At 40.3% G+C, this 17,386-nt stretch overlaps 2 protein-coding genes and 1 pseudogene across 36 annotated transcripts in view, besides 2 other annotated features; 1 reads left to right on the top strand and 2 right to left on the bottom strand.

Annotated features, from left to right (window-relative positions):
• The window catches only part of RANBP2 (RAN binding protein 2), a 1,122,820-nt gene that overhangs the window by 274,921 nt on the left and 830,513 nt on the right, over window positions 1-17,386 (bottom strand). The window lies entirely within an intron of this gene.
• SEPTIN10 (septin 10) overlaps window positions 1-17,386 on the top strand; it is a 71,168-nt gene that overhangs the window by 46,586 nt on the left and 7,196 nt on the right. For 31 of the 35 annotated variants that reach the window (NM_001321506.2, NM_001321511.2, NM_001321505.2 and 28 more), the window contains 3 exons: window positions 1,522-1,618; window positions 2,847-3,015; window positions 14,162-14,294. In NM_001321506.2, the coding sequence (NP_001308435.1) occupies window positions 1,522-1,618; window positions 2,847-3,015; window positions 14,162-14,294 (399 nt within the window). The remainder of the gene's footprint in view (window positions 1-1,521; window positions 1,619-2,846; window positions 3,016-14,161; window positions 14,295-17,386) is intronic. The other 4 variants (NM_001321503.2, NM_001321508.2, NM_001321502.2 and 1 more) reach the window with 1 other exon arrangement.
• Window positions 6,982-7,182: a silencer, noted in NCBI's record as "peak3814 fragment used in MPRA reporter construct". NCBI's record gives its function as "represses an SCP1 promoter by STARR-seq MPRAs in K562 erythroleukemia cells {active_cell/tissue: K562}" and the evidence as "EXISTENCE:reporter gene assay evidence [ECO:0000049][PMID:32103011]".
• Window positions 8,475-8,769: an enhancer, noted in NCBI's record as "tiled region #2497; HepG2 Activating DNase matched - State 5:Enh, and K562 Activating non-DNase unmatched - State 24:Quies". NCBI's record gives its function as "activates a minimal TATA promoter and a strong SV40 promoter by Sharpr-MPRA in HepG2 cells, with weaker activity in K562 cells {active_cell/tissue: HepG2 | K562}" and the evidence as "EXISTENCE:reporter gene assay evidence [ECO:0000049][PMID:27701403]".
• On the bottom strand, window positions 14,487-14,872 carry RPL37P12 (ribosomal protein L37 pseudogene 12; annotated as a pseudogene).

The raw sequence follows: 17,386 nt of genomic DNA, 5'->3' as shown, positions 1-17,386 counted from the left end.
ATTCATATAACTTTTAGTTTAGTACAATGGAAGGTGACTAAGTTCTTAATTTTACTTTCTTGAAGCTAACACATTTTTAAAACACCTGGTTGTGTTTTGTAGGATCATGGGTTTTGAAATCTGACAGGCTTGGTTGGCCATATGTCCATTGGAGTTACTAACCTCCCTGAGACTTAACATATCTACAAAGTTAGGTTAATACTGCCCACCTTAAGGGTTGTTGTGAGGGATAAATGATGTCACCTTTGTTAAGCGCCTAACAGTGACTTTCAATAATTGTTCATTCCATTTCTTCTATTTTCCTTTTCTGATTTTTCATACCACTTTTATATTAGTGTACCTAAACTAAATCTGTAAAAAAAAACTGACTAATGTAAATGAGGTGATCTTAATTCCTATATGTTAAATTGTCTTTACATCTAATTTTATTTCTTGTGCTCAACTAGAATATTCAGAAAGCCACCATTAAGAAACTAAATATGTCAATTTTAAAATATTAAACATAGTAATTAATAATTTTTACATTAGACTTTTCCCCTGTATTAATCCTCAACTTCAGACAGACCAGTCTACTCCCTGCCCCTGAACCTAGCTATTGCATTTTGTTCAGAATCTTTTCCTTTTCTAAGCCATTTCTTCCCACTTTGCTTGTCCATCTAAATCTTGTTCTTCTTGATGTGGGTTAGCTTGTGTCTTCCTGCTCCTAGTGATCTCTCACTCCTCTCAATTTCTAGGACATTTACTATATTGACATTAATTTGGGACTTTGTGTACTACTTTATATTAGTACCATATCTATACACCCACATACTGTACACACACACACAAACAATAGGAATACACTATTGTATAGTTACATATACATTTTGTATACTGTGGGTGTGTGTATGTGTAATTTCCTCAACATTATCTTTGTCTTTTAGAGGAAAATTCTTTTTCGGCCAGGTGTGGTGGCTCACACCTATAATCCCAGCACTTTGGGATTATAGGGCTCACACCTATAATCCCAAGACAGGTGGATCACCTGAGGTCAGGAGTTCGAGACAAGCCTGGCCAACATGGTGAAACGCCGTCTCTACTAAAAATGCAAAAATTAGCTGGATGTTGTGGTGGGCAACTGTAATCCCAGCTACTCGGGAGGCTGAGGTAGGAGAATCACTGGAACCCAGGAGGCGGAGGCTGCAGTGAGATGAGATCGTGTCACTGCACTTCAGCTTGGGCGACAGAGTAAGACTCTGTCTCAAAAAAATAAAAATAAATAAATAAATTTTTTTTGTTTGTGTGTATTCCCAATAGCATAATGCCTTACATGTAAATACTTTTCTTTATGGGGCCCAAAGATGACTCTTGTAGAACAGTTAGCACATATTCACTGGCAGGTTTTAAAATCTGAGGCATAGCTGACCATTCGATTTTAATAGGTTTGTTATTTAATTATTCTCTTCTCTCTCACATAAAATTTATTTTATCTAGTCAGTTATCACAGTGGTATGAGAAGATGTGCTCGATATTCTTTTTCAGGGACAGTTGCCGTTTGCTGTTGTGGGAAGTATGGATGAGGTAAAAGTCGGAAACAAGATGGTCAAAGCTCGCCAGTACCCTTGGGGTGTTGTACAAGGTAAATGAGACAAAGGATGACTAGAAATATGTATCTATCTAGTAATCTCAAAGCTACCTGTCATGCCTTCTTTGGGGTGATGCTTAGTTTGGATGTGATTGGTTGTCAGAGGAATTGGCTGTGTACTATTTTAGCCAAAGTCTGGAGGCCGTGTAGAGCCTCCCACTTCTCATTATGCCACACACACATTACCCCCGCCCCCACGGTACCCTGTTAGTAGGTGGGAAACACCAGTGGGGCACTCTGACCAAAATGTGAATGTGGAAAGTAGTGTTCAGACATAAAACATCACTAATTACCACTTAAGTATAAGAACAGTCAACCATCTTATAAATTTATATATTTTTACTGATCAAAGTATTGCCGGCTATTTCCAGAATAAGCCAGTCAGCCAACTTAAAAAGTTAAATCTACTTGACATTTAGATTATTTAGCTGACATTATAATGAGTAAGTAAATAGTATTATATGGTTCATTTACTTATAGTGCTAATTAATGGTGAATAGATTACCCTTACTAGTATGGATTTCCAAATGCTGATTTTTTTTCTTAATTGATAAATTTTGTAATGAATGAAAAAATTGAGAAAATATAACATTTTTAATTTTATAAAAAATGTAAAAGTAATAATTATACTTAAGAGTATTGGTCACAATAAAATATATTTATTTGTAGTCCTCTGGTCACCGTAAACATAGAAGAAGGATCATGTAAGTGTGTTCACTAATTTTGAATAGTGTCTAACACAGGATCATAAATGTGTTCTATAAAAAGAATTTGATAATTATAGCAGGGAAGGATAGTATTCTTGAGTTTGCAGAATTTACTACTTTGAAGTTTTAGTGAACTAATATTACATACTCTTTAAACATTATGTGAAATGTCTTCAGGATAGTTTGTAAACTGCTAACAAAATATTAGTGTGAAATAACTAGAACACTTGGTTAACAATAAGTTGTGTCTTTTTTGGTATTTCCTGGTGATTCATTGGCTACTAAATTTAAAGTAAATCTGGTCTGTTAATTCACATTGCCTATGATACAGTATTTATACTGCAAGAGTTTCTTCCTTGGTTACATGTATAAAATAATCGTAGCTGTTAATCAAACTGATCATTTGCTATTTGTTGTTTCACATGTTTTCATTTATTTGTTCATTCAGCAAACACTTAGTTGTGTGCCAGGAATTAAAATCCAGTGTTGTTCTTTTCTTATTTTTTTTTGGCTAGTGGAAAATGAAAACCACTGTGACTTTGTAAAGCTGCGGGAAATGCTCATTTGTACAAATATGGAGGACCTGCGAGAGCAGACCCATACCAGGCACTATGAGCTTTACAGGCGCTGCAAACTGGAGGAAATGGGCTTTACAGATGTGGGCCCAGAAAACAAGCCAGTCAGGTAGGGTGGGGTTCTTGGGAAGCCAACCAAAGAGGAAGTTAGAGAGGATTGCATATTTTTATATATCCAGGATGATGGGGCATGTGTTCTTTAGAATCTCCCAAAACCATGATATAGAATCATTTGGTAATGACTAATTATTGTGCTTCTTGAATCACTTGACTCCTTCTTGCTTTTGAAGAGTCTTGCTTTTTAAGTCCTTGTCTGACTCAAAAAGAGTTAAATATGATGAAGAATGTATGGCAGAGGCCCCCTGTTTCAGTTCATGCTGACATGAGTAACTGAAGGAAAATACCCTCATTATTTGATTTCTTTTTGTATTTATCTGAGACGATGATATATTTAACTGTTGTCATAAAGGTAAGTTGGAACACAAATCATTTTCTTAGTTTTATTTATTTATTTTTTGTAGAGACAGGGTCTTACTATGTTGCCCAGGCTGGTCTCAAACTCCTGGCCTCAAGTGATCCTCCTACCTCAGCCTCGCAAAGCTTTGGGATTACAAATGTGAGCCTCCATACCAGTCCTCAGGAATCATTTAAAATAAACTAAAACATTTTCTGTTGGTTTTTCTTCTGTAAAGGTTTTGGAATGAGTGAAGCTTAGCAAAACATATTATAAAGGAAGAAGGAGAGTGCTTGTAGGGAGTTGGAGATTAGATTGTTTCTTGCCATATTACAGTGTAGTTATAAGAATTTTAGAATCTGAACCCTTCCTTGCTCAGTAATATAAAGCATTAAAAGTTGTAGAAACTTCCTTGGTAATTTTATATGGTGCTGTATCCCAGACTTTATGCAACTCAAATCCTTAGTGTACTGAATCAGATCAATTTGATGTAGCATTCCAGAACAGTGTTTGCATGCAGGAAAGCGTGAGATCCTTGGGACAAGTGCTATTTTAAACTCTCTTATGAGACTGAGGATTCCTTTTCCATTGCATTGTTTGCATTTGTTATTTCTCTGGTTCTTAGCACCTGCACCAGAGTAAACAAAAGAAAGGGGGAGGAGTGCATCAAATTAGTGCCGCTGTTGCATATAAGCTTTTGGAAGACTTAATCTTAGATGAAGTTAAATTTTTAAATTTCTTCAGTCTATGGAGTTAATTAATGTTTTCACTTCTGGTAGCATAATGAATTAAGAATTGTATATACTTATGGCCGGGTGTGGTGGTTCATGGCCTGTAATCCCAGCACTTTGGGAGGCCAAGGCGGGCAGACCACTTGAGGTTAGGAGTTCAAGACCAGCCTGGCCAACATGGTGAAACCCCGTCTTTACTAAAATTACACAAATTAGCTGGGTATGGTGGCACACTTCTGTAAAACCAGCTACTCAGGAGGCTGAGGTAGGAGAATCACTTGAACCTGGGAGGCAGAGTTTACAGTGAGCTGAGATCGTGCCACTGCACTCCAACCTGGGCAACAGAGCGAGACTCCATCTCAAAGAAAAAAAAAAAAAGCATTGTGTGTACTTAACCCACCCTCACCAAATTCAGGCATAGGATGCTTCTGGTTGTGGGCCAGTCATTCTCGTAAACTGACAATTTTCTCATGATATTGTCTTCACTAAAGATTAATCATCTCGAGTTAGCTTCCCTAGTGTTTCTCAGAGGAGACTCACTTCTCATTTCTTCCAAGTCTCAGGGTCACTTCAGAGGCCTCTGTGCACTGAGGTGGAAGGGGTCCTGAGTAAGAGCGGGCAGGGACAACTTTGAAGTCCTCTCTGAGGAGACAGGCCTAGGTGTCTGGTGGAGTCATCATCAGTCACCTGTGGATGATTAAGAAATGCAGGGTCAGAATTTCCAGGGATGAAGCCTAGAAATCTGCAGTCAGAATTCTTAGTCATTCAGCAAATAGTTTGTCTGCTATCTGCTCAGCCAAATGCTAGTCATTGGGTGTATGTGCACTGTTGGATCAAATAGAGACCCTGCTTGTGTAGAGTCTCTGTTGAGGGGTGGGAGGAGGACCCCTATGTGAAGAAGAGAGTTGGGGGAGGGGGGCAGGTGGAAGTGGGGAGACCAAGTTAGGAGGTTGCCATGGTGGTCCAGGCATGAGAAGATGGAGGCGTGAAAGAGAGGGGTAGTGACAGAGGGGTGAGAAGCATGCTTAAGACATGTATTTTTTTAAATTTAATTTTATTATTATTATTATTATTTTTGAGATAGAGTCTCACTGTGTTGCCCAGGCTGGAGTTCAGTGGCATGATCTCTGCTCACTGCAACCTCTGCCTCCTGGGTTCAAGCGATTCTCATGCCTCAGCCTCCTGAGTAGCTGGGACTATAGGCATGCACCACCACCCCCAGCTAATTTTTGTGTTTTTGTAGTAGAGACAGGGTTTCACCATGTTGGCCAGGCTGGTCTTGAATTCCTGGCCTTGGGGTCAGGAATTCCTGGCCTTGAATTCCTGGGGTCTTGAAACCCCATCTCTACTAAAAATACAAAGTGATCTGCCTGCCTTGGGCTCCTGAAGTGATGGGATTACAGTGATGGATCACACCTGGCTAAGGATATGTAATTTGAAATTAAAGTCCATAGGACCCACTGATAAATTATTTTTGCATATGGGATTTGAAGGAAAGAGAGGGATCAAGGATAACTCAGTCACCACTTTGACCTAGAAAATGGGGTGACTGGTGGTGATCGTTATTGACCTGAGGAGGATGGGAATCAGAGAGTTTAGGGGTGTAGTTGGTAATCCAGAGGTTTTAGAAATGTTACATTTAAGCTGCTTATTAAATATTCAGGTGAAGAGTTTGAGTAGGTTATTAGACACATGATGAATCTGGAGCTAGGGAGAAGTTAGGGCTGCCATAGTAATTTGGGAGTCAGCAGTGAATAATACTGGGTAAAATCTTAAGTATTTTTTTAAAAGGCTCTGCTAAATGCTAGAGATTACTATTATTTTGCATGGAGTTTATGTTCTTGTAGGGGAGTTCAAAAATTAAACACCTAATTGCACAGTACATTGTAGCTGTGATATAAGCACTAAAGGAGAGGCAGACAGTGTAAAATGGGTTGTGTGGGTGGGGGGGTTCCAAATTTAAGCTGGAAAATTCGGGAAGACTTTCTTGAGGCAGTGGCTATTTTGAGCTGTAGTAACTTGGGGAAAACAGAGCAAGACATATACAAAGGGCTGAAGATGGAGAGAGAATGGCATCTGTAAGACTCCGGAAGAAGATCAGTTCACTGCAGTACAGCAGGACAGATGAGGCAGGCCTGGGCTCACGTGAGATGAGAGAAGAGAACAGGCAGGCAGCAGCTGTGGAGGCCCTGGGGAGGATTTTGATCTTTGTCCTAAGGGGAAGGCAACGCTATTTTAGGAATAATATAATATTTGCATTTTAAAAATTATTATTTGCTCTAATGTGAAGGAGGTATTGAAGGGGTGTTCAGAGATGCTTAGGAGAGGCCAGTTAGGAGAGCATTTCTTTGACTAAAGTGAGATCAATGAAAATAAAGAGCTGGACATATTTGAGAGATGACTAGAAGGTAAAATTGGAAGAACTTAGTGGTTGTTTGGATATAATAAAGTGAGAAAGCAGGAGGCTAGAAGGAGACGCCTAGTCTCCTGAATTTATGGTTTCATGGCTAGGTGGATGGTTACTGCATTCATCTAGATAGGTATGGCTGAAGGAGGACTAGCTTTTTTGTGTGTGTGTGAGGCAGCAGTGGTAGGCACAATGGAGGTCACAGTTTGGGACCTGTTGACTTTGAGTTTCCTCTGAAACAGCAAAGTGACAATTACAAGTAAGCACTTTGGGGTATCTTTCTGGAGGTCAGAAAAGCAATGGGCCAAAGAAATAGCTTAAGAGTCATGGGTATTTAAATGATTAATTCTATGTGTGACCAGGGATAAGACTGCCTGTAGAGAGAAATACATCTAGAAAGAAAGGTGACTCAGAAACAGCCTTGAGTCCCTTTAGTATTTGTCAGCTGGAGGAGCAGATAGGAGAGCTTGAGAAGGGAGGAGGAGGAAAACCAGCAGTGTCACGTCTTGGAACTTGACAGAGGGGATCAAGAGAGAGGGAGTCTGCTGCTGTGTCAAAGTTGAGGTCCAGGTTTATGCTGCACAAGTACAGAGGTGCTTCCTTGACAATTCTTGGAGAATAATGAAGACCACTTTGTGTTCAGTTAAAAAAGGCAGTGGTTGGGGCCAGGCCCGGTGGCTCACGCCTGTAATCCCAGCACTTTGGGAGGCTGAGGCGGGCGGATCACGAGGTCAGGAGATCAAGACTATCCTGGCTAACACGGTGAAACCCCATCTCTACTAAAAATACAAAAAATTAGCTGGGCGTGGTGGCGGGCACCTGTAGTCCCGGCTACTTGGGAGGCTGAGGCAGGAGAATGGCGTGAACCTAGGAGGCAGAGCTTGCGGTGAGCCAAGATCATGCCACTGCACTCCAGCCTGGGTGACAGAGCGAGACCCCATCTTAAAAGACAAAAAAAAAAAAAAAAAAAAGGCATTGGTTGGAGGCTACATAGGTCTGGACTTGCAGATTTGAAGGGAAGGCCTGCAACAGGTAGAAACCATTTTTGTTCCAGCTCTGGGAGTGGAATGAATGAACTGAAACCATTGCCAGCCTTTTTTGTTCACTGCTCACAATTCATAGTCCAGGGAAAGAATGTCCAGTAGGCCTGATGTAGGTCATGTTCCCATCTCTTGTTTAGGAGTGAGTGTGAACCTGATTAATTGTCCCACAAGACTGTATCCCATGGGGGAGAGGTAGCCCCCAAAAAGGTAATGAGGATAATGGATACTGGTACCAAGAGGAAAGGACTCAATGATAGGTAGTCAGAAATCATAGATTGCCCATCACATCCATTTGCTGAGCATTTCTTCAGGTTGGGAAGCATCTGATCACTGATCACACAAAGAAGGGGAAATTAGAAAGGGAGATTCTTCAGCTTAGGTCAGGCTACGGACTGGGTGGGAGCAGTGGCTGGAAGAAACTCAGTAAGTTTAGGTCAGGCTACAGAGTGAGTGGGAGCAGTGGCTCACTATTGTCTTCCTAAGAGAGTAGACCTTTCTACTGTATTTCTGGATCACTTGGGTAAAGTTGAGGCAAAATGTCTCTTCTGGTTCTTTGTCATATGTGATTAAATGATTTGATAAGGCTTTTGTAGCTCATTATAGTCTGATGTATTAGGAAGCTTTTATTTTTTATAGTTTCAAGAAGTTATATCTGGCCAGGCGTGGTGGCTTATGCCTGTAATTTCAGTACTTTGGGAGGCCAAGGTGGGTGGATCACCTGAGGTCAGGAGTTCAAGACCAGCCTGGCCAACATGGTGAAACCCTGTCTGTACTAAAAATACAAAAATTAGCCGGGTGTGGTGGCGGACACCTATAAGCCCAGCTATGTGGGAGGCTGAGGCAGGAGAATTGCTTGAACCCAGGAGGTGGAGGCTGCAGTGAGCTGAGATCGCACCACTGCACTCCAGCCTGGGCAACAGAGCGAGACTCCATCTCAAAAAAAAAAAGAATTTATATCTGTTTTCTCGGGAGTCTTTTCCTATTTAATTTGGTAGTTGTTGTAATTTGGTTGGCATGTAAAATCTGTCCCTCAGTATTATATCTATCTAGCAGTAAAGACAAGTTACGCAAACCTGTTGGGTGACCTTTATGTGACTGTACTTCCTGGCCCTCTTTGTTGCCAGAACTTCCGTTTGTTTTTCCACTTACACTTTATTGAATGGGTATGCTGAGTCATGGTGGGTATCCTAATCTACCAGCACCAATCGCAGGCTTGTCACGAGGCCCACGTAAATAGCACTATAGTCATAGTTTAATTAACTGATCTTAACATTTTATATTAATTATTTCAACCATTGGAAACATGCCTTTATAAAACTCTTTAAATCCCCAAGTTTAATAATTAAAGATTAACCTAACTAATCTCTTTCCCACAGTTAATCACCTTTAACTTTTTAGCACAAAATCACTGTCATTGAAGTATTGTGGGACCTGTAGCTTTGAAAGGAAGATGTATGCTTAGTAGTTTAGAGTTGTTTAAGTATTTGACGTAATTTTAGTAAAACTTCATGTCTTTGGAATTCTCAAGAACTAAATAGTTCTTCAGGTAGTCTATAGTAGACTTGGAAAAAGTTCACTAGGCTTATCGGAACTGTACTTGAAACACAAACATGTCCCAATTGAAGGAAAGGACTTTTCTTGATGACATGAGCATCTGAGATTTTTTTCTTTCTTTCTCTTTAGTTTTCAACTTTAAATCAGTGAGATTTGCAACAACAGTAGTATGTTGGCATTAAATATTCATGTCAGGCCAGGTGCAGTCGTTCACGCCTGTAATCCCAACACTATGGGAGGCCAGAAAGGTGGATCACTTAAGCTTTGGAGTTTGAGACCAGCCTAGGTAACATGGCAAAACTCTGTCTCTACAAAGAATACAGAAATTAACCAGCTGTGGTGGCATGCTCATATAGTCCCAGCTACTTGGGTGGTAGAGGCAGGATGATCCAGCCTGGATGACAGTGAGACCCCGTCTCAAAAAAAAAAAAAAAGAAAATTATGACAGCAAGCTACTTTTATGCTAGAAAAGGGAATAGTATAGCAAGAAAATGTTTTTATTTTTATTTAATAAATCTATGATAAGAAACAATGATTGCATTAGTTTTAGAATACTAACTTTATAGACCATTCTCTTTCAGATCTGACTTTCTTTACCACCTTTTGAAAAATAGTACAAGTTTCTTTACTTGAAATTGGCCTTGTAAGTTTACATTGTCAGAAGTTGGAAAGCAGCACGATGAGATGCAAAATATGCAGAAGCAGTCCATTACTTTCTCCTGCTGAGACACCACATTGGGGCAATCTGATTTGTGGTAGTTGGGAATATGGACTTTGGAACAAGTCTAATCTGGTTCAAATCCCAGCTTTTTACTTTTCAGCTATGTTTCTTTGGGCAGATTACTCTCTGTGCTTTAGTTTTCTTATTTAGAATGTCAGGGCTTGTTCTTCAGGGTTGCTGTGGGAATTAAATAGTCAACATAAAGGAGTCCAGAAGAGTACCCTGCCAGTAGCAGATACTCAACAAATGTTAGGTCTCTTCTCTTCACCAGGTAGATATATTTTCCTTGTGAACAACTCAAGTGCTTGTATAGATTAATGAAGCATTGTTTTAAAAAACTTATGTTTGTTATGCATTCAAGATTTTTTTTATAATTTTTTTTAAATTTTTTTTTATTATACTTTAAGTTCTAGGGTACATGTGCACAACGTGCTGGTTTGTTACATATATATACATGTGCCATGTTGGTGTGCTGCACCCATTAACTCATCATTTACATTAGGTATATCTCCTAATGCTATCCCTCCCGCCTCTCCCCACCCCACAACAGGCTCCGGTGTGTGATGTTCCCCTTCCTGTGTCCAAGTGTTCTCATTGTTGAATTCCCATCTATGAGTGAGAACATGCCATGTTTGGTTTTTTTGTCCTTGCGATAGTTTGCTGAGAATGATGATTTCCAGCTTCATCCATGTCCCTACAAAGGACATGAACTCATCATTTTTTATGGCTGCATAGCATTCCACAGTGTATATGTGCCACATTTTCTTAATCCAGTCTGAATTCAAGATATTTTTACATCAAGCTTGTCTTTAAAGACTATCAGTCATGTTGGACTAGTGAAATGTAGGGAGGTTTCTAAAGATGAAGAAAGTAGCTGATAAATATAGGGGCTTCTTTAAAAAAAAAGATCACAACAGAAAAAAAAAGGCCTGATACTAAGTAAAATGCCTCCTTGGGGTGTGAGACATGTGATGTCTAGGGTATTTTGCACATTTGTAATCTCTGCTCTTAAAGAACAGGTTTCTGCAAGTGTTTAGGATCTGTTCCTGCTTGGAACCCCTCCTGTACATGCCTCAAACTCACCTCTCAGCCTTGGTAGCTGTTGTGTAGTATTTCTTACTCTGCGTTTCTTTGAACTTACAGAATTCTATACTTAAAAGCTTAATGTCTCCAGTTATAAAATTTAAGATTAATAAGATTTAATTCATATTTTGAAATTGATTTATTTTTATAAGCAATAGAAATTTCTCACTAATGTAGCTGGAAAGTGAATTTGTATTCTCTGTCAAACCTTTGGGATATTCTTATAGCAAGCCCAAATGGAAGGGCTCAGTGTTTCTGACATATAAGAAGGCTTATTATACCTCCAAAATTCTACACATAGGAAAGGGCAGCTACTGGTAGAGTTCCAGGATAGTCCTTTCTCTGCTGGTTATGCTGGTTAAATCTTCCTCCTCTTCCCAGAAATTTGTCATTCTATGAACATTTATAAAGAAACTGAAATGTCTAGAGAGCTCTGCTGGATAGTCACAGAGATGAATGAGGCTTCATTTTCTGTTCTCAAGATTTGTGACCTATGAGAAGGGAGAGATGGGCAGGATATAAATGCCATGGCAGTGCTTGGAAGGAACAGTTAATTCTAACTGGGGAGTTTGGCAGTCACTACGGGACTGAACGAAGGAGGATGAACACAGAAATGAAAACTTACAAGAAACTGTTTTAAAGGAAGGGGCCAGGGGAAGAAGAAGAGAGCGTCCTGCTTCTAGTGAGCAAAGGCAGCCGCCCCAAGCTTCTTAAGCCGTTTGTATTTATTGGGTAGAAAGAACAGGGAGGAAGAGGTAACGATTGGTCAGCTGCGTAATTGATCACAGGTTCATATTATTGCTAACAGGCTTCAGATGTGCCCTGTAGATAATCACAAGAAACACTTGTGCCTGGGTCGTGACTGCCCTCAGCATTCCTTCTGGATGGCAGACGCAGTTTGTCAGTTTGCTAACATTCTGCATTTATGAGAATAGTTTGCTCTTTACTAATATAGCCTCCAGTGGTATACTGAGTTGATCATGACCCTCATTCTTTTGGCCTGCAACAGGGGAGAGTGGGGGAGACTTTACAGAAGAAGTTACATGTGAATTTGCCCTTGAGGGGTAGAGGATGAGCAGGACAGCATGGGGGTAGAAGGTGGACAGTGGCCACAAACTGAAGCCTGAAATGCCAGGTTCGTTCTGGGAACAATGAACAGGTTGGTGTGGCTGAAACCTGAGGATAGGATATCAGAATTGTTTGGTGAGAAATCAATCTGGAAAGGTAGAATTAGGCCAGAGATTATAAAGTTTCTTGAGTGCAATTTAAAGGAGGTGGGACCTTATTCTATAGATAGCATAACTTTAATGTGGTGAGAAAAGATAATGAGATCTGTGTTTTTGGTGGAAAATCTAGAGGGTGACAAGAACAAAGTGAAAGAAAGAGGAACTAGAAGCTCAGAGATGAATTAGGAGATTGTTGCAGTAGTGAAGGCAGAAAATCACAAAGATCAGGTTCGGCTGTAATCTGGTATCTGTAGAAATGGAAAGAAGGTTATATTAGGAGACTTAGCTTCAGAAGCTGAACTAATGGACCTTGATAAGATAGGGAGATAGGGTAAGGGAAGAGTGAAAGATGACTCAGGATTTCCAAGTTTCTACATACAGTGATTCCAGTGACTCTAGTACTCCATATCAGCACTAACACGGGTGGCTTCATATTTCATGCTATAGGAAATTTCATGTTTTGGGTTACCATGTGTAAAAAAATATTGGTACCTGTTACATATATGAGGCTGAACATGAGATGTACAGCAGGTTCTTGAATAACAATGTTTTGTTCAATGTCATTTTGTTGTAACATTGATAAGAAAAAAAATTGATTCCCGGCGATGGCCACTGTCTGTGTGGAGTTGGCATATTCTCCCTGTATCTACAGGTTTTCTCTGGGTTCTTCATCCCAAAGCTGTAAGCGTTAAGTTCATGGCATGTCTAAATTGTCCCAGTCTGAGTTGGGTGGGGGTGGTGTGAGTGTGCCCTGCAATGGAATGGCATGCTGTCCAGGGCTGATTCTCACTTAGCTTCCAGGATAGGCTCCAGCCACCCATGACCCTGAACTGGAGTAAGCAGGTTGGAGAATGAATGAATGAATACATATTATTGTAACATAAAAATGTATTGTATACATTGTGTATACGATACACAAATGTAGGACAATAAGCAATGCGGTGTGAAAGTGCTCAGTAACCCTGCCATATTTGTTATTGTTTGTTTTTGAATTACATCGTGGTAGGAGGTGATCTTTACAATTTTCCCTTTGCAAACATCTATTCCCTGATTTCACCTCCACCATAATGACTGCCATCACTCACTGATGCACCAAAAATTGGGTAATTAATTGTCCTTCTTGTTTTTGTTAATTTTTCTTAAATGTATATATAGCTAACATTTATTTCAGTGTTTAATATTAGAAGGGTTTTGAGTCTTTATTTAGAAGTTTGGTAATGTTTTTGTGACCAGAAATATACCATACGAACTTAATTCTTGTTTATATCAATTACCCTATGGTAAAAATTGGTTTAATCATACATTGCTTCACTTAAAGTTACAGTTTTCAAGAACCTATTGATGGCATTAGGTGAGCACTTGTATTTTTGAAAGTTTATTGTATCACTTTTTTTTTTTTTTTGAGACAGAGTCTTGCTGTGTCGCCCAGGCTGGAATGCAGTGGCGCGATCTTGGCTCACTGCAACCTTCACCTCCTAGGCTCAAGCAATTCTCCTGCCTCAGCCTCCCGTGTAGCTGGGACTACAGGCGCACGCCACCATGCCTGACTAATTTTTTGTATTTTTAGTAGAGACAGGGTTTCACCATGTTGGCCAGGCTGGTCTTGAACTCCTGACCTCAGGTGATCTGCCCACCTCAGCCTCCCAAAGTGCTGGGATTACAGGCGTGAGCCACCAGGCCAGGCCACTTATATCACTTTTTTTTTTTTTTTGGAGACAGAGTCTCGCTCTGTCACCCAGGCTGGAGTGCAGTGGCATGATCTCAGCTCACTGCAATCTCTGCCTCCTGGGTTCAGGTGATTCTCCCACCTCAGCCTCCCATGTAGCTGGGATTACAGGCACCTGCTATCATGCCCAGCTAATTTTTTTATTTTTGTAGAGACAGGGTTTCACTATGTTGGCCAGGCTGGTCTTGGACTCCTGACCTTAGGTGATCCACCTGCCTCGGCCTCCCAAAGTGTTGGGATTACAGGCGTGAGCCGCCATACCCGACCTATATCACTTTTTAGCAGGAGAGTAACACAAATAACTTTTTAGTGTTCAAGAGACCTATGAAGCCAAAAGACATGAGTTCCATGGTGAACGTCAGAGGAAGGAAGAAGAAATGAAACAGATGTTTGTGCAGCGAGTAAAGGAGAAAGAAGCCATATTGAAAGAAGCTGAGAGAGAGGCAAGTATGCTGGTTTGATGTGATTTGCATTTATTTTTTAGATGTCCTATTAATTTGGAGGATTTATTCCAAGAATTTGCTTGAGACTCTTTTGTAGGCTACTTGTTCTTTAAAGAGTAGCTTTTCCAACACATAGTATTTGAATATTGACTTAGAATCATAGCCTGAAATTAAATGAAAACTTTGGCCTTCTTTTTTTTTAAAGCAGTACATTTATGGAGTCACTAATCGTTGAAATTCTTACAATGAACTGGAAGCTGCAGCAGCTACCCTCTTGGGTGCACACATTTTTCTTTCATGAAATCCATGCCTTGAATCCACGGTATACAATTTTTAGGTGCCTCATTCAACCAGTCTCAGTGGTGGTTTGTCTTTGTTAGTGCCAAGGCTAAAAGAAGAAACACGACTGGATGTTTTCTTATGCCTAGCAGGGTAAGCCACATTTGCCACAGCCCAACTCCTGAAGGTGGTGGGCCTCACAGCCACAGTGGCAACACAGTGTATGCGTCTTACTGTGATGCTTCCCAAACTATGACCTTCCCTTTGTCATCTCACTCCTTTGACTGAGACCAAAGAGAATTTTGGCCTTTTGAGCAAATATTCTTCCATTAGAAATGGTTTACCAAGGGCTTGTAATGGACTAGGTTACTAAGAAGTATCTTAACCATGAGCTATAAACATTTTTACTATGGCTTAATAAAGCCTTTTTTGAGTGTTGCTGGGGTGGTTGTTTGCCCTGAAATGGATATCTGTGAAGGCTGTGAAGTAGCTTTACTTTCCATTTGAACTCAGTCTCTCAGGATGTAGTTAGGTGGTCTAGATCAGTGGTCCCCAACCTTTTTGGCACCAGGGACCCGTTTCCTGGAAGACAGTTTTTCCACGGACCAGGGGAGATGGTTTCAGGATGAAACTGTTCCAGCTCAGATCATCAGGCATTAGATTCTCACAAGGAGCGCACAACCAAGATCCCTCACATGCACAGTTTGCAATAGGGTTTGTGCTCCTGTGGGAATCTAATGCCACCACTGATCTGACAGTAGGCGGAGCTCAGGCAGTAATGCTTGTTTGCCCGCCACTCACCTTATACTGTGTAGCCCAGTTCCTAACAGGCCATGGACCAGTACTGGTCCGCGGCCTGGGGATTGGGGACCCCTGGTCTAGATGACCTTGGGGTAGCCCTGGCACCAAAAAAATCACTGAACTTCTGTAGTTTTGTTTGCTTCTAGTTCTGAAGCAGCAATTTAGGTTTTGAGTAAAGCTATTTTCTTGAAAATACATGATTTCTTGAAGAGTTAATCTGTAATCCAATTGTGCTAGTTTATTATTTCAAATACACTTACAGTACTTGCTATGTAAATGAACTGTGCAGGAAATGGTTTTGTAAAAGTAATAGTTTACTAATTTATTTATAATGCGAATTTTGATGTTTTATTTGGAAAAAGTTCAAACAACAGAAAAGTGAAAGTATAGGATACCTATGTCCTTCCCCTTACCTAAGAAAACAGGAATACCATAATCTCACCCAATCTTCAGTCCTTATTCAGATTTCCCCAGTTGCCCCAAGATTGGCTTTCAAAATCGTTCCTTTTTATTTGGTGATTTTTCTGTTTTTGTTTTTGAACCAGGATGCAATCACAGATTGCATATTGTACATGGGTATTATGTTTGTTTAGTTTCTTTTATTCAAGAGTTTCTCATATAGCATGAATCTTAGTTTTACCAATTCACTAATAAAAAGATACCACTCAAAACATTATTTAATTCTATATTAAAGGACTGTTATTTAAATATGTCCTTGCCAATATTGTTGTGAAACAAATATCCCTTAATTTATCTTTTGTATAAATCCATATTTCTATATGTAGCTTTGTAAAATGATGTGTGCTTAGATAATAGTGTGTGAACATTAGATGACTAGAATGGGGAGATGCACAGAACAAATGATGTCTCCAAATATCGTTGACGTTCTGTCTTCCCTATTCCTTTATTGACAAGATTCTAGAAGAACTCATGAGGCATGTTGCATATGACAGACGGATTTCCTATATACCCTCCCCACTTTAAGAAAAAGTACAGTTTATATTTATCCCTCAGGTTACATGACCATCATTATTATTACTACCCAATTTGATATGTCTGTCTATATCTTGGAATAATTTTTTCATTTAACATTTATGCCCCTTGTATTTCCAAAAAGTATGCTCGGTAATTTACAATTTAAAAATGCAGCTACGTTACAACCATGAACATGAGGAGAACAGGAGCCTTATAATACAGGGTACGAAGAAGGGGTTTGCACAGAGGGCAGCCGAGAGCCCTGGTTGAGGGAATTTTTAAGTGAACACAAAGACTGGGCTCTAACTTCTAGGCAGGCAGGGCAGAAGGGACCACACAGAGTTTAGATGGAAGTCATCTGCTAGCTCAGCAGAGAGAAATATTTTCCCTGGCATTTATTTCTAATTTCTAAAAATGGGGCCGGGCGTGGTGGCTCACGCCTGCAATCCTAGCACTTCGGGAGGCCGAGGTGGGTGGATCACTTGAGATCAGGAGTTTGAGACCAGCCTGGTCAATATGGTGAAACCCCATCTCTACTAAAAATACAAAAATTAGCCAGGCATGGTGGCAACATGCCTATAATTCCAGCTACTCAGGAGGTTGAGGCAGGAGAATCGCCTGAACACAAGAGGCAGAGGTTGCAGTGAGCCAAGATTATGCCACTGCACTCCAGCCTGGGCAACAGAGCGAGAATCCGTCTCAAAAAACAAAAAAAAAAAAGATACTTTTTTTTTGTTTTTTGAGACTGAGTCTTGCTTTTGTTGCCCAGGCTGGAGTACAATGGTGCAATCTCAGCTTACCGCAACCTTGGCCTCCCAGGTTCAAGCAATTGTCCTGCCTCAGCCTCCCGAGTAGCTGGGATTATAGGCATGTGCCACCATGCCCAGCTAATTTTGTATTTTTAGTAGAGATGGGGTTTCTCCATGTTGGTCAGGCTGGTCTCGAACTCCTGACCTCACGTTATCCGCCTGCCTCGGCCTCCCAAAGAAAAAAGATACTTTTAAAAGGATCTTTGAGTACGAGAATGTGTCGTGTCC

This window comes from Homo sapiens, chromosome 2, assembly GCF_000001405.40.
Source record: "Homo sapiens chromosome 2, GRCh38.p14 Primary Assembly".
Classification (NCBI taxonomy): Eukaryota; Metazoa; Chordata; class Mammalia; order Primates; family Hominidae; genus Homo; species Homo sapiens.
Note: the sequence above shows the minus strand (reverse complement) of the source record. Positions and strands in the feature narration are given on the sequence as shown.